Below are 20025 nucleotides of genomic sequence, written 5' to 3'. Positions count from 1 at the left end.
GAGTGGAGTTTGCAACCCTGGCTGCACATGAGAAGCACCCAGCCAGGGAACTATATTATTATTATTATTTAAAATATTGATGGCTAGCTGTGTGTGGTGGCTTATGCCTGTAATCCCAGCACTTAGGGAGGCTGAGGTGGGAGGATTGCTTGAGCTCAGGAGTTAGAGACCAGCTTGACAACATAGTAGACCCTGTCTCTACAAAAAAATTTTTTTTAATTAGCCGGATTTAGTGGTACACACATGTAGTCCCAGATACTCAGGAGGCTGAGATGGAAGGATCACTTCAGCACAGGAGTTCAAGGCTGCAGTGAGCTATGATCACACCACTGCACTCCAGCCTGGGTGATAGAGCAAGGGCGTATTTAAAAAAAAGAAGAAGAAATTGATGGCTGAATCCTACTTCCAGTCCCACTCAATCAGAACACCTCTGAACGCGTCTAAAATGCCCCAGTGATTTTAGTGTGCAGCCTGGGGCTGAGAAACACACATGTCAGGCCTTGTAGATCTCTGGGTTTTGTTCTGAGTGGACAAAGAAGACATTGGACAGTTTCAGCAGGAAAGGGACATGGCCTAATAATTTTTCTTTTAATTACTTAAAGGTGGCCGGGCAGGGTGGCTCACATCTGTAATCCCAGCACTTTGGGAGGCCGAGGCAGGCAGATCACCTGAGGTCGGGAGTTCGAGACCAGCCTGATCAACATGGAGAAACCCCATCTCTACTAAAAATAAAAATTAGCTGGGCATGGTGGCACATGCCTGTAATCCCTGCTACTCAGGAGGCTGAGGCAGTAGAATTGCTTGAACCTGGAAGGTGGAGGTTGCGGTGAGTCAAGATTGTGCCATTGTACTCTAGCCTGGGCAACAAGAGCAAAACTCCATCTCAAGGAAAAAAAAAGAAGAAGAAATTACTTAAAGGCTCTGCAGAAAAGCAGTTTTAGGGGCCCAGGTGAAGGTGGGAAGGCCAGTTGGAGGTCATTGTCATGATTTGAGGTGGCTTGTACCAGGGTGTAGACATGGAAGTGGGGAGAAGCAGCCAGATTCTTGATGTACTTTGAGGTAGACCCTGGGAGGTGAGTCGCCCCTGACTCATCGTTTAAACTCCTGTTCCAAGGCCACCTCCTTCAGGAAGCCTCTGCCAATCCCTGGCAGGCCAGGAGGAAAGGCCCCACAACTCCGGCTACTCTGTCGGAGTCGGTCGGAGTCGATCTCCGCATATCCGGGCTTTATCCTGACTTTCACAGAGATGTTTCCCAGACGGATCAGGAAGACCTCAGTGAGCATCGCTCCATTGCTTCAGGAGGTCTGTCATCTGGAAAATGTACAGCTCTCTCTGGAATCTTCTGCCAGACATTCCCCTGTCAAACATTGAGCCCAAGGGCCTTGTATAAAGGCCCTGCCCAAGGTTATCCAAGAGACCAGAACTTGGGCCAACCTCCAGCATCCTAACTAGTCTGTCGTCTGTTCAGCTCCATGGAGAAACACAGGCGCATCCTTTCGGAGGAGCGGGGCTGTCTGCTGCCATAGCGGAGCTCCAGAGGCAGAAATGCAGGCTGGTGGTGTGAGGCTGGAGAGACTGAGTCAGACCGCGACCCCCACAGCATCAGCGTTTAACTGAGAGCTTCCTGCATACCAGGTACCGAGACAGCCCCATACACCTTATACCTGAGTCCTTCCAGGGCTGCGGGAAGTGGATGCCGTGTGTCCCAATCAGGGCCATGGCGGTGCACAACTCCAGGGGCACCATTCACAGAGCAAAATAGAGCGGCCACTCCCCGCAATGTGAGGTATTGGCTGCTTTCTCCTTCCTCCCTCCCTCTCTCCCTCCCTCTCTCTCTCTCTTCCTCTCTCCCTCTCTCTTTCTCTCTTTCTTTCTTTCCTTCTTTCTTACCGAGTCTCGCTTTGTCACCCAGGCTGGAGTGCATGGTGCGATCTCGGCTCACTGCAACCTCCGCCTCCTGGGTTCAAGCTATCCTCGTGCCTCAGCCTCCCAAGTAGCTGGGATTACAGGTGCACAGCACCACACCTGGCCAATTTTTGTATTTTTAGTAGAGACGGGGTTTCGCCATGTTGGCCAAGCTGGTCTTGAACTCCTGACCTCAGGTGATCTGCCCATCTCAGCCTCCCAAAGTGTTGGGATTACAGGCACGAGCCCACCACGCCTGGCTTCACTGCTTTATGGATCCTGTTTTACACATGGAGAGGAAACATGCTTAGAGACTATGAAGATCATGCTGAAGCTCACACGGCAGGACCAGAACCCAGGTCAGCCCCACCCCGCCCTGCCCTGCCACTGGAGGTCAATGGCGACAGGAGCCTGGGTTCTTGCCAAACTGCAGACCTCACTCCCCACAGTGAGTTCCTTCCTGTTTTCACAAGGATCGGTCTCACTCTCGGGTAACAGCGAGATTTTCCTAGTGCCCCCCACCCCCCACTCCAACCCTGGGCGGACCCTTGGCCTCAGGCAACATCACAGGGCAGCTGCCGGGGGTGCCTGGCATTCAAGCCTTGCTGAGAACATGAAACTGCTGCTCTGGGGACTCGCACTGGTGACCCCAATGTGGCAGCCGCTCTTTCGGCTCTTCAATAATTTAGAGAATGCATACAATTCAGCGGGCAGTTTCATCTCTGGGTTCAGAAACACAATGCCCTGGGGATTGCTTCCAGCGAAGAGTGAAATTCCACTTGTCACAGTGACAGAGGATGTGAGCCTGTTCCTGGAAGGGGCTCTGGTCTCTGGGTGTTTGCGAACATCCTAGAAGACAGGAGGCCGGCAGCCAGCGTCCTGGGAGCTGGAGGGTCTGCCCCAGCTCAGCTGTCCAAAGATGGGCCTTCATGCAAAATCCCTTTCCCCCTGCCTCTTGCTTGTGGGGAAGAGAGAGGTGACTGCACAGACTGTTGTGTGTGGCTCCACATTTGCATTTGATGCCTAGCTGCACCCCTGACCCTGGCCTCCCCCCATGTCAGCTCCTGGGAAAGACCCTTGCACCAGGCCCCAGAGGGTCCATGGGAACTTTCTAGGACACTTGCAGTTCCTAAAACTTGGCAATTGCATTTTTCCCTTAAAAAAAAAAATTATTCTTTGCCGGCTTGGTGGCTTATAGTCCCAGCACTTTGGAAGGCCGTGGCAGGAGGATTGCTTGAGCCCAGGAGTTTGAGATCAGCCTGGGCAACATAGTGAGACCCTGCCTCTACAAAAAATAAAAAACAAAATTAGCCAGGGGTGTGTGCCTGGGATCCCAGCTACTTGGGAGGCTGAGGTGGGAGGATTGCTTGAGCTCATCGGAGTTGAGGTTGCAGTGTGCTATGACACCACTGCCTTCCAACCTGGGTGACAGAGTGAGACCATGTCTCCAAAAAGAACAAAAAAACAAAAATTGTTCTTTAAAAAAATTACACTTGAAAACATGATGTTAAGTTAAATTAGCCAGACACAAAAAGACAAATAATATATGATTGCACTTATCCAAGGTACAGAGAATAAGCAAATTTATAGAGACAGAAGTAGAATGGGGTTTACCAGGAACTGAGGGGCCTGGAAGCAGAGAGTTATCATTTAATGACTACAGCATTTCTGTTTAAGAGATGAAAATGTCTGGAAATGGACAGTGATGGTTGCACAACATTGTGAATGTACTTAATGCCATGGAATTGTACACTTAAAAATGGTGAAAATGGTAAATTCTGTGTTATGTATATTTTATCACAATTTTAAAAGTATGTTTACTGTAAAAACAAAAAACTGGGCGGGGCGCGGTGGCTCATGCCTGTAATCCCAGCACTTTGGGAGGCCGAGACGGGCGGATCATGAGGTCAGGAGATTGAGGCCATCCTGGCTAACAAGGTGAAACCCCGTCTCTACTAAAAACACAAAAAATTAGCCAGGAGTGGTGGCAGGCGCCTGTAGTCCCAGTTACTCGGGAGGCTGAGACAGGAGAATGGCGTGAACCCGGGAGGCGGAGCTTGCAGTGAGCCGAGATCGCGCCACTGCACTCCAGCCTGGGCGACAGAGCCAGACTCTGTCTCAAAAAAAAAAAAAAAAAAAAAAAAAAAAAAAAAAAAAATTGCACAAGTGCACTGGTGCAGTGGCACATGCCTTTAATCCTAGCACTTTGGGAAGCCTGAGGAGGGAGGATCACTTGAGCTCAGGAGTTTGAGACCAGCCTGGGCAAAATGGTGAAACTCCATCTCTACCAAAAAAAGAAAAAAAAAATACAAAAACTAGCGGAGGGTGGTGATACACGCCTGTAGTTTCAGCTACTTGGGAGGCTGGGGTGGGAGGATCACTTGAGCCCAGGAGGTGGAGGCTGCAGTGAGCTGTGATGGCACCACTGTGCTCCAGCTTGGGAGACAAGAGTTAGACCCTGTCTCAAAAAAATAAAAATAGGCTGGGCGGGGTGACTCATGCCTGTAATCTCAGCACTTTGGAAGGCCGAGGTGGGTGGATCACGAGGTCAGGAGTTCAAGACCAGCCTGGCCAACATGGTGAAACCCCATCTCTACTAAAAATACAAAAATTACCCGGGCGTGATAGCAGGTGCCTGTAATCCCAGCTACTCGGGAGGATGAGGCAGGAGAATCACTTGAACCCAGGTGTCAGAGGTTGCAGTGAGCCAAGCTCGCACCACTGCACTCCAGCCTGGGTGACAGACTGAGGCTCTGTCTCAAAAAAATAAAATAAAATAAAATAAAATAAAATAAAATAAAATAAAATAAAATAAAAATCCATAAGTCCATACTGATATAAATAAATTATTGAATAAATAAATAAATGAGGGAGAACAGGCAATCTCTCATCCAGAAGAATTCCAAATCATCTCCATAGAGTCCACCCTCAGGAGGTGGAGCATAGGAACTCCCTCCTCCTTGGCTGTGGATGGCACACAGGGACTTCCTTCCAGGAAGTACCCTACAGAAAGCAGGGGGAAAAAGAGTCGCCTTACAGTGGAGAACCCTGACAAACACTCCCTCAGCCAGGTGGTCAGGGTGAGCCTCAACAGTGATCATACTTCATGTTGTCAGTATGCACCCCAATATGATGGGATGAAAATGGCACTTGACCTCTGGGGTCTTCCTCCCCAAAACCCACAACCCAGTCTAATCGTAAGAAAAACGTCAGACAAATCCTAATTGAGGGACATCTATAAATGTTTTATTTCATTCTGTAAATGTTTCCCGCACACCTCAAAACTGTCAAGGTCATCAAAAACAAAGTCTGAGAAACTGTCACAGCCCAGAGGAACCCAAGGAGACGGTGGAATCTTGGTTGGAATCCCAGAACAGAAAAAGGACGTTAGGTAAAAACTGGAGAAATCTTTGGCCAGGCGCAGTGGCTCACGCCCGTAATCCCAGCACTTTGGGAGGCTGAGGCAGGTGGATCACTTGAGGTCAGTAGTTCAAGACCAGCCTGACCAACATGGTGAAACCGCATCTCTACTAAAAATACAAGAAAAAAATTGGCCCGGTGCGGTGGCTTACCCCTGTAATCCCAGCACTTTGGGAGGCTGAGGCAGGCGTGTCATGAGGTCAGGAGTTTGAGACCAGCCTAAGCAACATGCTGAAACCCCATCTCTACTAAAAATACAAAAAAAAAAAAAAAAAAAAAAAAATTAGCCAGGCATGGTGGCGCGCGCCTGTAATCCCAGCTACTCAGGAGGCTGAGGCAGGAGAATCGCTTGAACCCGGGAGGCAGAGGTTGCAGTGAGCAGAGATGGAGCCACTGCACTCCACCCTGGGAAACAGAGGGAGACTCCATCTCAAAAAAAAAAAAATTAGCTGGGCATGGTGGCATACCCCTGAAATCTCAGCTACTTGGGAGGCTGAGGCAGGAGAATCGCTTGAACCCGGGAGGCAGAGGTTGCAGTGAGCCAAGATCGTGCCACTGCGGTCCAGCCTGGGCAAGAAGAGCGAAAGTCTGTCAAAAAAAGAAAAAAAAGAGAAATCTGAATCAAGTGTGGACTTCAGTTAACAAAGATGTATCAGTATTGGTTCATTACTAATGCCACATGTTCCATGCTGAGTTGTTTTTTTTTTTTTTTTTTTTTTTTTTTTTGAGATGGAGTCTCCTTCTGTCGCCCAGGCTGGAGTGCAGTGGTGCGATCTTGGCTCACTGCAACCTCCGCCTCCCGAGTTCAAGTGATTCTCTGGCCTCAGCCTCCCAAACAGCTGGGATTACAGGTGTGCACCACCACGCCCAGCTAATTTTTGTATTTTTAGTAGAGATGGAGTTTCACCACCATGTTGGTCGGGCTGGTCTTGAATGCCTGACCTCAGGTGATCTGCCCACCTTGGCCTCCCAAAGTGCTGGGATTACAGGCATGAGCCACTGCGCCCCACCTGACGGGAGATTATTACTAGTGCCGGGTAATCATTGCACTCTCCCAGGGCAGGAGCTCCTTTGCCAGAGAAGTCCCTGGTCACCTGAAGGGGGGTACAGGGAGATAAGGAGCCACTTCCCAGCCCTCAGCCCCTCTAGACATGGCAAGGCCCTGGGGACAGAGGCCAGCTTGGATGTCAGGAGAGCTGGTTGTGAAGCTTGTCTCTGCACAGATTTACTCCATGGCCAGGTCCAAATTCCTTTCCCTCCAGAGGCCAGGGACAAAAATAGTCCCGGTGTGAGGGCCTCGCTTAGCTCTCAAGGACCCTCTCAGGGCGCTGGCACCTGCTCTGGCAGCCCAGCTGTTGCTTCTGGTTGGAACTGCCAGCCTTGAAGCCCCAGAGGCTGTTCCCTATAGGACGGAGTGAGTCATCCTGGGATCATTTGCCTGCCAGGAGTGGGTGAGGGAGGAGCAGCCGCCGCCTTCACAGACACCTGGTAGTGTCAGGAGAGGGCATGCACTGCCCTGGTGAGGCTCCTCTGGCTGCCCCCAGGCCCACACCCAAGGATCCCTGCCTCAGAGTAAGTGAGGGCTCTAGCCAGGGTCCCCTCTCTCCCTGCTAAGGGCTGAGTTACTGATGCCCTAAATAAGCAGCCCCTGGGGCGGTAAGAGGCAGGATGAGATGGATTGGAGGGTCCAGCTCCATCTGCGCCCCTCCCTTGGGCTCTCCTTTCCCTGTGCCCAGGCAGGTAGAAGGGATCTTTCTCCACCGCCCGCCCCATTCTGGCTGGGGCACCTAGATATGGGGGAGATGGGAAAGGAGACAGGAACAGTGGGCCCCAAGCAGGAGCAAGGGAGGGAGGTGGGGTCTGGGCGAGGAGCAAAGGAGAGGGCCAGGGTGGTGGTGGGTGGGGGCATCAGAGACAGCAGGGCGTGTGGCCAGGAGCCCGGGCGCCAGGCAGAGCTGCTGCTCCCAGCTCAGGAGCCCCTGTGCCAGCTGGATGCGGGCGGGTGGGCACGGGCAGGGCCACGTGCCAGACATGCACAGAGCGCCCTTTGAGGAGGTGGCAGCTGTCGGTCCAGGCCCCCCACCCCCCCCCCGGCTTGCTGTGGCCCTGCTTGGCCCCTCCAACAATGCCTTGCTGAGCACTGGGCTGCGGACGCTGATGTGCACAGTTGGGAACCCCACTCAAGAGGTGAAGGGGCAACCATACTCTACTGGAGCAGGGAAGGACCCCTCATCACTGCCAGAACAGGGACTTGGGTCTCTCGTGGGAGGCCTGGATTTCCCTCTTTCTCTCATACCTCATACCCCCTCATTGCTGCTGGCCTCTTGGGATCCTCACCGGGACACTCCTGGAGAAAAGATCAAGGCTGCACGCCCCTTGGGGAAAAAGGCTGAAAACCCAGTCGGTGACCTGCTACTGGGGGCTTTTGGGAGCTGGGGGAAGTCAGCCTGCTGCCTGGCTCTGCTTCCTCCATCCAGCCACCGTGGCCTCCTGGCACAGCATCCCTGGCAGGCAGAAGGGCCCGCCCCCCACATGGGCACCCACACAGAGATTCCCTAGGCAGCTGGAGCTTTCTGCCCCCAGGTCCCCGCCATGAGCCCGGGCTGCGGCAAACCAGCCTCATGGAGCTGGCTCCGTCTTTCCTCCCTGGGGTGGGCAGCGCTGACCTCCGGGACAGTGCTCTGGACCCCAGCCCCACTTGCTCTAGATGCTCACCCACCGTCCCCAGGAAGCAGAACAGAGGGGTCGGACCCCTGGTCCTTCCTTTGAGTGGGTGAGGGATCTCAGTGCCTGGGCCTATGAAATGTAACGGGGCATCAGCAAGGCCTGCCTGGCAGGAGTGGAGCGATGGGGACGAACATGCACGTGCCCAGTGGCTGCAGGTGCCATGTGTGGGCACCATGGTAGATGCGAAACAGCTGAAATTGGGGGTGTTTAGCCTGGGGAAAGGAAGTCTCAGGCCCACGAAGGCTCGTCTTCCAGCCTCTGGGAGGACGGTGGGCTGAGGGTGGGCCCAGGAGTGGGGGTTACAGGGACACAGGATCCTCCCTAGAAGCCAGGTCAGATGTCACTGTCAGGGCGACCCCAGGATGAGCTAGACTGTTTCCGGGGTGGGGAGCTCCTCTTCCCTGGGGGTCTCGGGGCTCGCTCTCAGCTGGGGGAGGGCAGAGGGGCTCCGGGAGGCCTGCTATGCTGCCCCGCGATCACCTTCCGCCGGCCGAGCCCTCCCGGTCTGCGCCCGGACACAGGGCCTAGGAGCCCGGCCAGGGCCACAGGGCAGTGTAGTGTTGGGGGAGGGGACTGGTTGGGCGACCCAGAGCTGGTGCGACTGGAGGTGGCCCGCGAGGGATCGGCGAGGAGCGGAGGAGACCGCGCCTCCCCGCCGCGTTGGGCCGACAGAAAAAGGCCTAGGTCCGGGGTCCTCACCTTTAACGCGTCCCTGGCCGCGGAGACGGTGGGGGGGGCGGCGCGGGCGGCGCATGCGCGGCGCGGCTGGAGCGGCCGGACAGTCCGGCGTCCGGGAACGCTCAGGAGCCGGAGGAGCCGGAAAGCGCCGGGACCCCTCGCGGGGCCTCTGAGCGGCGCGGGCGGACCCGAGCCCCCAGCCCGCTGGCGCCGCTGCCCGCCAGGCCCCGGGGGCGGCGGCCAAGATGTCCGTGCCTGTGAGTACCGCGCCGCCCGGGACCCCGGGCCGGCTGTCCCCCGCCCGGCTGCGACCTCGCCCCGCCCGCTGCGGGCCTGATGCCGCGTTGGCTCCCGGACTGGGGGTCGCCTCACTGGGGCCTCCTCGGCCCCGGGGGAGAGCGCACCGGCTGGGGGAGGCTCCCCCAAGCCGGCCTCTCTGCCCCCGCCTTTCCATCCTCTTTCAGGAGAGCTGGATCGGGCTGGGGTCCGTACTGTCCCCTCGGGGAGCCCCCCAAGATGGCTAGGTCGGGAAGACTCTTTGTTGGTCCCCGGGAAACCCCTGGGACAGCTGGGCCAGGCAGGAGTCTGTTGCCCGCCAGGACCCCGCACCAGGACGGCTAGGCCTAGCGGGGAGGGGTCTCTGCCGCTCCCGCGACTCCCCTCCGGGACTGCTGGGCCGGATGAGGGGGTGGGAGGCCTGTGCTGTCCCGCAAGACCTCCCTCGGATTGCTGCCCTGCGGCGCTCCCGGGACTCCCCCGGGGTGGCCAGGTTGGGGCGCGGTCTCTGCCAGTCGCCGGAGCCACCCCTCCCCCAGGACGGCTTGGCTGGATGGGAGCCGTGCCTGCCCTCCACGGCGGATGGGCTCACTTTCCTGGGAAGTTTTCCTCTCGCTGCGGAACCCCCGGGGCCCTGACTGGCCGCTTCCTCCCCGCTGGCCGTAGGGAGTTTTCTGTCCGACACCCCCTCTTCCTGGCCGGGCAGCCTGGCTTCGGCAGACCCCCGGGCCATGTTTCCACACTTGGGCACTGGCATCTCTGAGCATCTCAGTCTCACCTCCTGAGAACAGCAAGTGATCCTGGCTACCCCGGGTAACCAGGCCTCAGGTGCAGGCCCCACATGACAGATGGACAGACTGAAGTGGGAGGTGGGAGGCGGACACCCCGGCGTCCTGCCAGGAAGGGACACCATCTGCACCTGGCGAGCTGTGGCCTCCAGCCATCGTTTCCCTGCCTAGTTAGGGGCTTTTCCCTCCAGAGCCCTGTCCACTCTGGCCTTGTTTCTGGAACTGCTCCTCACCCGGAGGACCCCATCCTTTCCGTGAAGCAGGCAGTGGGGGCTTTCTGGCAAGTGGCCTCTTCATTAACTATCCCAGAGTGAGTGCAGATGACCAGAGGGAAGCTGGCCAAGTGCAAAGCATTGTTATTGTGGAATTAAAGAGCCCGCTCCTGCTCGCCTCCAGAAGTGGTAATGTATTTACAGATGAAAAAATGAGGGCTTCCAGACTGTGCTGATGTGAGCCCCGCCATCCGTTCTGGTTCAGAGCATAATCGTCTCGTCTTCAGAAAGAAGGAAGACAGAACATGCCTGCCAAGCCCTTCCTCTCTTCTGTTCTGCTCTCCTGGAAAGTTCTGGACTTCTCTGGCCCAGGGCCTCAGGGGACTGGCCAGCCCTGCTCCTGTGGGCACTGGGCAGAGGGACAAGGCGGACCACCTGAGCCTGCTGGAGGGCCGGTATCCCAGGGCAGTAGTGATTAGGGAATGTCACTCTGGCCACATCCCAGCCTGGGCGGGCCTCTATGGGGAGGTCCCCGTTTGATTTGGTTTGGTTGTCCACAGTCAGAGCCAAGCTCTGGGCATGGAGTCTGGGATGGCACCCTGACCCCTTGCCTTACAGGACTTTGGGCAGCCTTCTTTGGCACTGTGCCTCATCTGTAACAAGAGAGGAACAGCGGGCTGGGTAGGACTTGGACAGATAGGCACTGTCGTGGGGACCTGCAGCCTGGCCACACCATCACGGGCTCTGAGTCATCTCCTACCCTCTCCCTTGTAGTCACAGCCCAGGAGAATTCTGCTGGGGGTGGGCAGAGGTCTTTGCCATCTGCCCCCTACGTGGCTGGCTGGCAGATCACCGTGGCTCTCTCTCCTGGGACCTTGGGCAGTGTGTGAGGTGGTGGGGCCAAGAGGAGAATTCATTTTTGGAACAGTCTTGAAGTGTTCGGAAAATTGCTTTCATGTGCTGAGGAGGCCCTGCGGAGGCTTCCAGACTGAGCTGCCTGCTCAAGCCCTGCCCTTGGAACCCAGAGTGGCGACTGCTCAGGGACACGTCTGGGTTTTAAGCACACCCATCCATTTGGGCAGTCTTTTCCTAGATGGGCTGACGCAGCAGGCACTTTGGCCCACAGAAATTATAAGATGCTTCAGAAGGGGATGGGAGGGGAAGCAGGGTGAGAGATTGGTGGGCTGGTTGTGCGGGTAGCGACCCCCTGAGTGTTGGGGGAGGGGAGATGCCGGGGATCAGCTGGTGTCACCTTGTCATTTGACTCACATGCAGTCCCGGACCCAGAGAGGGGAAGGAGCCAGGGCGTCCCTGCTACCTGCTCAGTGCCCCTTCCTCTGCTCCAGGCATAGAGCAGTGCAGTGCTCGTGTGCTGCCTGGACACCCTGTGGGTATTCCCATGCCTTCCTCTCGCCCAGCGCTCTGGGCCTGACTCTTCCTGCAGCTGAGAGGACACATTTGGAAGGAAATGTGCCACCCACCTCAGACCTCTGGCTGGCATTGGCTTGGGAGTCCATGTTTAGGGGTGGCAGGTGCTGGCCACCCCCAGCCCTGCCAGGTAAGAGGCCAGCTTCCAGCTGCAGAGAGGCCTCCCTGCTGTCTGTTCTGCTTCTTGCTTCCCATCTGTGAAGTGAGTGTGGCCACTCCAGCTCCTCCTGTGCCCCTTCGTTGAGGGATGGCTCCTTTCAGGGATGCCGCCCTGTGTGCTGGGCACTGGGCTCAGGACCTCACAGGCCCACAGAGGGCCTGTGTCTTGCCAGGGTCACCTGGCCAGTGAGAGGTGGAGCCAGGGTGGGAGCCAGATATGGCAGGATCCAAAGCCATAAAATAAGCATCGTCCTGCATGGCCTCTACTTGTGGGGGCTGCAGCCTGTTGAGCGGTGGACAGCAGCCAGCCCTCTACCTGTGGCTTCCCGAAGATGAGTTTGTGTCACCTCTTCTGCGTCCCTGGGAGGCAAAGCACCCTGGGCTCAGAGCAGGTAGCACCCAAGGCTGTGCAGCAGGGTGGGTCTAGCCCCAGCCAGCCCCAGCAGTGGTAGATGGAGATGAGTAGACCAGCCTTAGCATCTGGTTGAAACCTTGGCCAGCAATCCTGGAACTGGCTCTGTGCCAGGCAGTGGTGTGAGTGGGGGAGCTGCCCAAGGAGCCATGAGGCCTGCCCTGGGGTTCATAGCTGGCCTGGCAGCCAGGCAGTGGACAGAGAGAGTGGGATGAGGCAGTGTCCAGGTTCAAAGTCCGCAGCTCAGGCCCCACTGCCCCTGCCGCACCCTCTTCTGCCGCTGGGCCTTGGCTCAGCCTGTCCCTCCCTCTGTAGGAAGTGATCTCCAGCCAGCTGCCTCGTTCACCAGGTCATTCCCATTCACCTCAAGCTCTGCGCCATCATCCATAGGAAGCCTTCCCGGCGCCGTCTGCCATTGTCCATTTGTTGGTGGGGTGATGTGGTTGTGTCAGGCTCCCTCTTCACACTGCAGAACCCATGACTGCTTGCCCCGCTGTCTCTCGTGCCTTCTGGCTGCAGCTTGCCCCTGGCCGCCTGCTGAGTATGTGGCCCCAGGAGTACCGTGGAGCCCCCACAGGCCAGTGGCTGTATCCCCGTGCAGAGCCTGGGATCTCAGCCACTCTCCTCAGAGCCTTGCTTGAGGCTGAAAGGGGTTCCTGGAGAGGCTGCTGCGGGGTGGGGAGAGTGTTTTGGTGGGTCAAGGTCAAGGGCTCTAGAGTGAACAGTGTTGGCTCTGTGCCTTGAGTGAGTTACTGAACCTCCCTGAGCCTCAGTTTCCTCCTCTGTGTCATGGGGATGTTAAGAGCACAGAGCTCCTGGGATTTTGTGAGAATTTGGTGAGGGGTGACCAGAGCTGTTAGAAGGAGGGTGATTAAGTAACAGCAGCTACTGCTGTGGAGATTATTGTCTTCATGTGGCCATGGTTGGCTAGTGCAGTGGCTCAGACCCATTCCTGACTCCTGGGCAGCCAGCGTGGGGAGGAGGCTGGGCTGGACCCAGGCTGATTGGCCTCTGCCCCTAGGGTTCTGTGGCCCTTTCTTTATGGTCAGTGTGGTTTCTGCCAAGGCCTTGGTGGTGGGATGACCCTGGCCTCTCCCCTGCCCGGGCATGGCCTGCAGGACCCTGGCCTCTTGAGCCTTGGATGGTCAGGTCCTTGTCTTCACTCCAACCAGAGAGTGACCTGCATTGGGGCAACCAGCTGGCCCCATCGCATCTATGCAGCTGCTGCCCTGCTCCAAGTGCCCCCAGGAATGAGGCGGCATTGCAGGCCGTGGGAGCCGCTGCAGTGGTGCAGGCCTCTGCTCAGGTGTGGTCTGCAGCAGTCGGGCCAGCACGGGGCAGGCAGGGCCTCTGAGGGAGGCTGGTTCCACCCCTGCCTGGGGATCATGGCTCCTTAAGGGAGGGGCCTACAGCCAGGAGGGTGAGTGGGGGGCCTGGGTGATACCTGCAGACCTCCCCATTTCCTACCACTGGTGCCCTGGTGTTCTGGGGCCCACACCACCTTCCCTCTGTCTGCTTACCTTCACCCCTGGCCTTGGCCTTGGCTTTGCTGCAGCCCTGCGTGTGTCCTCCAGGTCAAGCCCCATTGTTTCTATGGCTCACTCTCAGTCCTTGTGTGCTGGGCCATTGTCTCCCTCTCTGCAGGAAAAAGGAAAAAGAGTTCTGGGGACAGGTTGGGGACCTCGGCAGAAGTGTGGAAGGGATGCTTGCTCTGGTGAGATGGTCACAAGTCGCGGCTCTGAAGTTAATCTCTTCTCCAAGGGGGATTAGAGGCTGGGAAGGTTTTTCAGTCATTTTAATTTATTATTTAAGCCCTACCAAATTCCAAGAAGGATTTGAAGCAGATTATGGCAGAAGACACAAATAGTCTGGGATCATGAAAAGATCTGGAATTATGTAATGTATGGGGAAGGAGGAAGAATTATCCCAGAAAGCCGAGGCTCAGTAGGCATCCAAATTTAACTTGAAGCTCCCTGATGGTCAGGGCAAAAAGAGTAGCATGGTGGGTTTAGGCTTGCAGTATCTATTTTTGGTATTTGTAATGCCAAATGTATTTTTTCTTTGCTTTGTTTTATTTTTTACCAGTCGAAACTCTTATTGAGGTAAATTTTACATGTCGTGAAATGTGCAGATGTTAAACAGTTAGTTGGATGAGGTTTTTTTTTTTTTTTTTGAGATGGAGTCTCACTCTGTCACCCAGGCTGGAGTGCAGTGGCCTGATATCAGCTCACTGCAACCTTTGTCTCCCGGGTTCAAGTGATTCTCTTGCCTCAGCCTCCCAAGTAGCTGGGATTACAGGCATGTGCCACCATGTCCAGCTAATTTTTGTATTTTTAGTAGAGACACGGTTTCACCATGTTGGCCAGGCTGGTCTCGAACGCCTGACCTCATCCGTCTGCCTCCGCCTCCTGAAGTGCTGGGATTACAGGCATGAGCCACCGCGCCTGGCAGTTGGATGAGTTTTGATTAATACAGACCTTCATGTAGCCATCAATCGAATCAAAATAACAAATGTCTCTATCACCCTGGCTTAAGTTTGCCTGTTCTTAAACTTTCTGCAACTGGAAGCCTACAGTAGATGCACTTTGGGGTCTGGCTTTTTCCTTTTTTTCTGAGATGGAATCTCGCTCTGTCACCCAGGCTGGAGTGCAGTGACAGGATCTCGGCTCACTGCAACCTCTTCCTCCCAGGGTCAAGTGATTCTCCTGCCTCAGTCTCCCAAACAGCTGGGATTATAGGTGCCCACCACTATTCCCAGCTAATTTTTGTACTTTTAGTAGAGACAGGGTTTCACCATGTTGGCCAGACTGGTTTCGAACTCCTGACCTCAGGTGATCCACCCGCCTTGGCCTCCCAAAGTGCCAGGATTACAGGCGTGGGCCACTGAGCCAGGCCAGGTCTGGCTTTATTCCTCGAGCATATTGGTTTTATTCTTTTTTTTTTTTTTTTTTTTTTTAGATGGAGTCTCATTCTGTCACCCAAGCTGTAGTGCAGTGGCATGATCTTGGCTCACTGCAACCTCCACCTCCTAGGTTCAAGCGATTCTCCTGCCTCAGCCTCCCAAATAGCTGGGATTACAGGCGCCTGCCACCATGCCCGGCTAATTTTTTGTGTTTTTAGTAGAGATGGGGTTTCACCGTGTTAGCCAGGATGGTCTCAATCTCCTGACCTCGTGATCCGCCCGCTTTCGCCTCCCAAAGGGCTAGGATTACAGGTGTGAGCCACCGCGCCCGGCCAGTTTATTCTTTTTTGTTGCTGAGTAATGTTCCAGTAATGGATGTGCCACAAGATATTTATCCATTCCTTGTGGATGGATATCTGTCTCTACCTTTAGTGTGCTGTGTCTGAGTCTGAGTCTTGCTGTGTTACCCAACCTGGCCTCCTAGACTTAAACGATCCTCCTGCCTCAGCCTCCCCAGTAGCTGGGACTATAGGCATGAGCCACTGAAGCCAGCTTGTGCTGTGTGTTATTAAGTAGCGGAACACTGGCACTATTGTTGGCAAAATACCCATTTAAGTATTTTATAAAACCTGATATCCAATTGTATGCCTTGAGGCATGCCTAGAGATCTGTGCTCCCAAATCCTGGATCTACCAAAGTTGCTTGTTTGCCCAGAAAGTGGTATGACCACACTCCTCCCTGTCCCAGACCTCACCAGGTGTCCTAGAGTTTAAACTGCCTCTTTGCAGGTTATCTGGGAGGTTAAGTGTCTTAGGCTGTAGAGTCATCTGTGTTTCGCCAGGGCCTGTGACCACTCCAGAAGTCCTGGTTGGGAGGTTTCTAAGGAGAGCAGGAGGCGGGAGAGGATGCAGCAGAAGCTACCTGCGTCCCTCCTCCTCCTCCTTCCCAGGCCACGCAGATTCCTGGGCTCCCTCTTTTTTTCCCTGGCCATCTGCCAAGGCACCCCTCCAGGCAGACACTCCTTGCTGCGCCTGCCCCAGCGCTGGAAGCCCTAAGCCCAGGAGGCACACACCACTGAGCCAAGCCTGAGGAGGGTAGAGGGAGACTCCCTGCGTCCCTGGCCCCAGCATCTGGGTTTCTTCTGTGTGCTCCTGCGGCCACACTGGCTCTTCACGCCGAAGGAGTTGGCTTGCCTGTGCTATTTTTACAAATCTTTGCTGTTATTTTTTTCTGCATAATGAGTCTTAGCAAAAGATTCACACATCTGCTCAAATGTCACCTCCGCAGAGAAGCCCCCAAGCACCTTGTGTAGAACAGCCTCCCCCATCCCTCTGCTGTCTGCTTTGCAAGCGTTTACGTTTGTGCCCCTTAACACACACCTTGGAGTGTGAGTTCCCTGAGGACACGGCTGTTCTTTTACACAGCAGTGCTGCCAACAGTTAGACCTCAGTCAGGAGGCGCAGATGCATGAGTGTTGCTTTATAACATGCATAGTGAAAGTGACTGCAACCAGCCACTTCCTACTTGCCTCAGGGCAGTCCAAGAGGAGACCCTGCCTGCCTCCAGTGTTGGCGGGTGGATCTGGGGGCAGCAGAACTCCAAGGAAAGATTTTGCCCCAGTCTCTCAGACAAGGTTTCAGGGAAGGTGAGGGATGCTGAGGGCATCTGAGGAGCGGTGTCTACGCAGGCTGTAGGGAGAGCAGGGAGGGCTTGGTTGCGGGATGGGCTTAGCACATGGGGTAGGCCAAGGGAAGGTGCGCCCTGGTGCCCAGCGGGGTGGGGCCAGTGTGTGATGGCGCAGGGTGTGGGTATGCTGCGGGCAGTGGGACACTAGGGTGCCGCTGTGTGTTTGCCGGCCACCTGTGCCATCAGTCTGATGGCCCCAGGGTGGGCAGGGCTGCTGGTCATGGGTACATTTAACAGATGGGCAAACTGAAACCTGAGCAGTACAGTGACTGGCTGAAGGCCCACGGCGAGTTGGAGTCATTAATATCTGCTCCCTTCCTCTAGTCTAAGCCTGGGCGAGAGCCTGAGCCTGGGTCTCCCAGGGCAGAGGAGCCTTTATCTATAGGCCGGCATAGGCTCCAGTGGGACACCCAGCCTAGCCCCACGATGCTGTCCAAGGAGGGAGAAAAAGCATTGCTTTTCCACCAGGCACAGTGGCTTACGCTTATAATCCCAGCACTTTGGGAAGTCAAGGCGGGAGGATCGCTTGAGCCCCCAGGAGTTGGAGACGAGCCTGGGCAATATAGTGAAACCCCATTTCTACAAAAAATAAAAAAATTAGCCAGGCATGGCGGTGCACACCTGTAGACCCAGCTAGTCAAGAGGCTGAGGTGGGAGGATCGTTTGAGCCCAGGAGGTTGAGGCTGCAGTGAGCTGTGACTGTGCCACTGCACTCCAGCCTCGGTGACAGAGACCTTGTCTTTAAAAAAAGAAAAAAAAGCATTGCTTTCCCTGTGGCTGCCACAGCTCTGTCTTCCCTGTATCCACTCTTTCCGTCACTGCCACCCAGAGCCCCCAGGGTCCCCTCTTGTGATTCCACTGGCCCCTGGCCTGCTGACCCCAGCAGAGTGGCCGGGTGGGTATCTGTGAGTGTGGGCCCCTGTGTTCTATGAAAGCGGCCGGGAGTGGGCAGCAGATGATGTGTGAAGTCACCCCCCTCCGCCCAGTACACTGGGGTTGGTTGCCATGGGAGAGCAGATGGCTGGGCTGGGTTGGGCTGGGGAGGCCTCCTGACCACACCCTCATCCCTGCCCACCCGGCCAGTCAGTGGAGAGCTGGGCAGCCCCCAGCCATGGAGCTTCCTCTCTGAGGACGAGGACAGAGCTTGCCCCTTTGCCCCTCTTTCCCCCTTCCAGCCAGGACTGAGCCCCTCTCTTCCCCCTCCCCCAGGCAGTGCTGAGGGGCTGCCTCTGCCATAGGGCGCAGATTCAGGAGGAGGACCTGGTGGTCAGCAGCGGGGCAGAGTGCACATGGCCCCTCCTCACTGCACACAGGGGTGCCGCTGGTCCAGGAGGACCTGTCTGGGAGGGCCCTGTGCTGGTGCCTGCCCCACCTGCCAGCCCCAGGAGGCTGGGCAGGAGGGGAGAGCTGAGAGAGGAGGGTGCAGAAGAGGAAGGGGTTGCTGGGGTGGGCGGAGAGCCTCTGAACGGCACCCTGGGGCTGCCTTGCTGGCTCACACCGGCCTCGGGCGGCTGTGAGCTGAGCCCCTCTCTGAGGCAGGCACCTACGGCAGGGGCCTCTGCTGCTTGTTAATTTCCAGATAATTTGGAAAGTTGTGCTGCCTCTTCCAGTCCTGTTTCTGACAGGCCTGAAGTGGAGGCGTAGGGCTGGATTTAGTGGGATGCAGGCCAGGACTTGGAGTGCAGGGAGGCCCCACCCCCCCCCATCCGTGCTGTGTCCCTTACCTGGCAGCTCTGCCCACACACCTTGGATACTGCCCCTGCCCCCGGGTCTCTGGGGACTGGCCTTGGGCATGCCAAAGGGGATGACCACTGGAGGGATTTGGCTTCAGGCTATAGGGCCCGCCCACCTTCCCACAGTCAGAGCCACTACTGGTAATGACAAACACTGCCCCGCAGTGGAGGATGGGAAGCCCTTTATGGTAACAGCTCCAGCTTGAGTCCTGAGTGCATGCTCTGCGGTCTGGGGTCACCTGGGGTGCTTACCAGTAGGCACACGCCTGGGTTATGAGGTGGAAGGTGCGAGCTCTGCTGGCCATGGGAGCTGCGTGGGGCATTGCCCCTCTCTCTGCCTCCAGGTAGCCGTCGTTCCGTCCTGGTCCCAGGGCAGCAGTGAGGAATGACTGGTGTTGGGGTGTGGGCTGTCCGTTCTGTGTGTGACAGTAGGTTCACCTCCGTGCTATCCACAAAGGTTCCGTGCCCTCGCCTGGGTTTTGTTTTTGTTTTTTTGAGACGTAGTTTCGCTCTCTCGCCCAGGCTGGAGTGCAATGGCACCATCTTGGCTCACTGCAACCTCCGCCTCCCGGGTTCAAGTGATTCTCCAGCCTCAGCCTCCTGAGTAGCTGGGATTACAGGCATGTGCCACCACGCCCGGCTAATTTTGTATTTTTAGTAGAGACGGGGTTTCACCATGTTGGTCAGGCTGGTCTTGAACTCTTGACCTCAGATGATCTGCCCGCCTTGGCCTCCCAAAGTGCTGGGATTACAGGCGTGAGCCACTGTGCCCAGCTGTTTTTTGTTTTTTTTTTTGAGATGGAGCCTTGCTCTATCGCCCAGGCTGGAGTACAGTGGCGTGATCTCAGCTCACTGCTTCACCTCCTGGTTCAAGCAATTATCCTGCCTCAGCCTCCTGAGTAGCTGGGATTACAGGTGCCCGCCACCACGGCCAGCTAATTTTTGTATTTTTAGTAGAGACGGAGTTTCGCCATGTTGGACAGGCTAGTCTCGACCTCCTAAAGTGCTGAGATTACAGGCGTGAGCCACCTTGCCCAGCCTTGCCTTGGTTTTGAGCTTGCCACTGTGAGTGTCCAGCCTAGGGGGATGGTGTCAGCTCTCATTGGCCCTCCAGAGATACCGTTTCTTCCTGTTCCTGGGGCTGGCAGTGCTCACCTCCGGCCTCAGGAAATCCTCTCCTGCTGCCGCTCCCAGAGCTGGCCATCAACCGAGTCCACCCTCCCTGCTGCTGGGAGGCCGAGGCTTCAGGAGGGGAGGGGGCTGTGTGCCTTTACACTGTGCAAACTGGTTTTAGCCTGCTCTTTTCACTTTAGTTTGTTGTAAGCATTTTCTTGCATTATTTCAGTCTTTGGAAGAGGCCATCTAATAGCTGCAAGCTATTCTACTGAGGCGCTGTGGTTTGTCTCACCGGTCCCCTAGAATTAGCATTGATAGGTGAGCCTGTTTTGCTCCATGCTTTGCTGTCATAAATGCTGCAGTGGACATTGGTGAGCATTGAGCAAGAAAAGTTCTGTGCAGTGGGTCTGTCCTGAAGGCAGATCTCAGAAAGCCCAAAGAGCAGGAACCCTATCCCAGGCTTATCTTTCCACTTGGGTCCAGTATAACCCCCTCCACTCCAGACACTTAGTGTCCTGGTGTGCTGGGTCCACCTGTTTTCTGTACAAACAGCTATTCCAGGCCCTGAGGGGTTGGAGACAT

General features: G+C 55.8%; 1 protein-coding gene and 1 long non-coding RNA gene across 6 annotated transcripts in view, besides 15 other annotated features; one reads left to right on the top strand and one right to left on the bottom strand.

Annotated features, from left to right (window-relative positions):
* Positions 2200-2738: an enhancer, noted in NCBI's record as "H3K4me1 hESC enhancer chr16:75305973-75306511 (GRCh37/hg19 assembly coordinates)". NCBI's record gives its function as "activates a minimal SCP1, AML or CMV promoter by ChIP-STARR-seq in primed H9 embryonic stem cells {active_cell/tissue: H9 hESC(primed)}" and the evidence as "EXISTENCE:reporter gene assay evidence [ECO:0000049][PMID:30033119]".
* Positions 6806-20025, top strand: part of BCAR1 (BCAR1 scaffold protein, Cas family member) — a 39827-nt gene continuing 26607 nt past the window's right edge. For 2 of the 5 annotated variants that reach the window (NM_001170718.3, NM_001170720.3), the window contains exon 1: positions 8806-8988. In NM_001170718.3, coding sequence (NP_001164189.1) covers positions 8977-8988 — 12 coding nt within the window. In that variant the 5' untranslated portion in view covers positions 8806-8976. Of the gene's footprint in view, positions 6899-7907; positions 8100-8805; positions 8989-10211; positions 10463-20025 lie in introns of those variants that run through there. The other 3 variants (NM_001170714.3, NM_001170715.3, NM_001170716.3) reach the window with 3 other exon arrangements.
* Positions 8537-8596: a silencer, noted in NCBI's record as "silent region_7718". NCBI's record gives its function as "represses an Ori minimal core promoter by ATAC-STARR-seq in GM12878 lymphoblastoid cells {active_cell/tissue: GM12878}" and the evidence as "EXISTENCE:reporter gene assay evidence [ECO:0000049][PMID:35858748]".
* Positions 8777-8896: a silencer, noted in NCBI's record as "silent region_7717". NCBI's record gives its function as "represses an Ori minimal core promoter by ATAC-STARR-seq in GM12878 lymphoblastoid cells {active_cell/tissue: GM12878}" and the evidence as "EXISTENCE:reporter gene assay evidence [ECO:0000049][PMID:35858748]".
* Positions 8967-9036: a silencer, noted in NCBI's record as "silent region_7716". NCBI's record gives its function as "represses an Ori minimal core promoter by ATAC-STARR-seq in GM12878 lymphoblastoid cells {active_cell/tissue: GM12878}" and the evidence as "EXISTENCE:reporter gene assay evidence [ECO:0000049][PMID:35858748]".
* Positions 9287-9376: a silencer, noted in NCBI's record as "silent region_7715". NCBI's record gives its function as "represses an Ori minimal core promoter by ATAC-STARR-seq in GM12878 lymphoblastoid cells {active_cell/tissue: GM12878}" and the evidence as "EXISTENCE:reporter gene assay evidence [ECO:0000049][PMID:35858748]".
* Positions 9387-9476: a silencer, noted in NCBI's record as "silent region_7714". NCBI's record gives its function as "represses an Ori minimal core promoter by ATAC-STARR-seq in GM12878 lymphoblastoid cells {active_cell/tissue: GM12878}" and the evidence as "EXISTENCE:reporter gene assay evidence [ECO:0000049][PMID:35858748]".
* Positions 9823-10620: an enhancer, noted in NCBI's record as "H3K4me1 hESC enhancer chr16:75298091-75298888 (GRCh37/hg19 assembly coordinates)". NCBI's record gives its function as "activates a minimal SCP1, AML or CMV promoter by ChIP-STARR-seq in naive H9 embryonic stem cells {active_cell/tissue: H9 hESC(naive)}" and the evidence as "EXISTENCE:reporter gene assay evidence [ECO:0000049][PMID:30033119]".
* Positions 10621-11418: an enhancer, noted in NCBI's record as "H3K4me1 hESC enhancer chr16:75297293-75298090 (GRCh37/hg19 assembly coordinates)". NCBI's record gives its function as "activates a minimal SCP1, AML or CMV promoter by ChIP-STARR-seq in naive H9 embryonic stem cells {active_cell/tissue: H9 hESC(naive)}" and the evidence as "EXISTENCE:reporter gene assay evidence [ECO:0000049][PMID:30033119]".
* Positions 11565-19015, bottom strand: LOC105371344 (uncharacterized). Its single transcript, XR_933740.3, has 3 exons — positions 18580-19015; positions 13527-13644; positions 11565-12674 (listed from the first exon to the last, which is right to left on the bottom strand). It is a non-coding gene; the product is annotated as an uncharacterized LOC105371344 (long non-coding RNA).
* Positions 13015-13814: an enhancer, noted in NCBI's record as "H3K27ac-H3K4me1 hESC enhancer chr16:75294897-75295696 (GRCh37/hg19 assembly coordinates)". NCBI's record gives its function as "activates a minimal SCP1, AML or CMV promoter by ChIP-STARR-seq in primed H9 embryonic stem cells {active_cell/tissue: H9 hESC(primed)}" and the evidence as "EXISTENCE:reporter gene assay evidence [ECO:0000049][PMID:30033119]".
* Positions 18114-18654: an enhancer, noted in NCBI's record as "H3K27ac-H3K4me1 hESC enhancer chr16:75290057-75290597 (GRCh37/hg19 assembly coordinates)". NCBI's record gives its function as "activates a minimal SCP1, AML or CMV promoter by ChIP-STARR-seq in primed H9 embryonic stem cells {active_cell/tissue: H9 hESC(primed)}" and the evidence as "EXISTENCE:reporter gene assay evidence [ECO:0000049][PMID:30033119]".
* Positions 18114-18662: a biological region, named in NCBI's record as "H3K27ac-H3K4me1 hESC enhancer GRCh37_chr16:75290057-75290597".
* Positions 18368-18662: a silencer, noted in NCBI's record as "tiled region #10346; K562 Repressive DNase unmatched - State 8:EnhW". NCBI's record gives its function as "represses a minimal TATA promoter and a strong SV40 promoter by Sharpr-MPRA in K562 cells {active_cell/tissue: K562}" and the evidence as "EXISTENCE:reporter gene assay evidence [ECO:0000049][PMID:27701403]".
* Positions 18368-18662: an enhancer, noted in NCBI's record as "tiled region #10346; HepG2 Activating DNase matched - State 5:Enh". NCBI's record gives its function as "activates a minimal TATA promoter and a strong SV40 promoter by Sharpr-MPRA in HepG2 cells {active_cell/tissue: HepG2}" and the evidence as "EXISTENCE:reporter gene assay evidence [ECO:0000049][PMID:27701403]".
* Positions 18655-19194: an enhancer, noted in NCBI's record as "H3K27ac-H3K4me1 hESC enhancer chr16:75289517-75290056 (GRCh37/hg19 assembly coordinates)". NCBI's record gives its function as "activates a minimal SCP1, AML or CMV promoter by ChIP-STARR-seq in naive H9 embryonic stem cells {active_cell/tissue: H9 hESC(naive)}" and the evidence as "EXISTENCE:reporter gene assay evidence [ECO:0000049][PMID:30033119]".
* Positions 19195-19735: an enhancer, noted in NCBI's record as "H3K27ac-H3K4me1 hESC enhancer chr16:75288976-75289516 (GRCh37/hg19 assembly coordinates)". NCBI's record gives its function as "activates a minimal SCP1, AML or CMV promoter by ChIP-STARR-seq in naive H9 embryonic stem cells {active_cell/tissue: H9 hESC(naive)}" and the evidence as "EXISTENCE:reporter gene assay evidence [ECO:0000049][PMID:30033119]".

The sequence above is a fragment of the Homo sapiens genome, chromosome 16 (genome assembly GCF_000001405.40).
Source record: "Homo sapiens chromosome 16, GRCh38.p14 Primary Assembly".
In the NCBI taxonomy this organism is placed as follows: Eukaryota; Metazoa; Chordata; class Mammalia; order Primates; family Hominidae; genus Homo; species Homo sapiens.
Note: the sequence above shows the minus strand (reverse complement) of the source record. Positions and strands in the feature narration are given on the sequence as shown.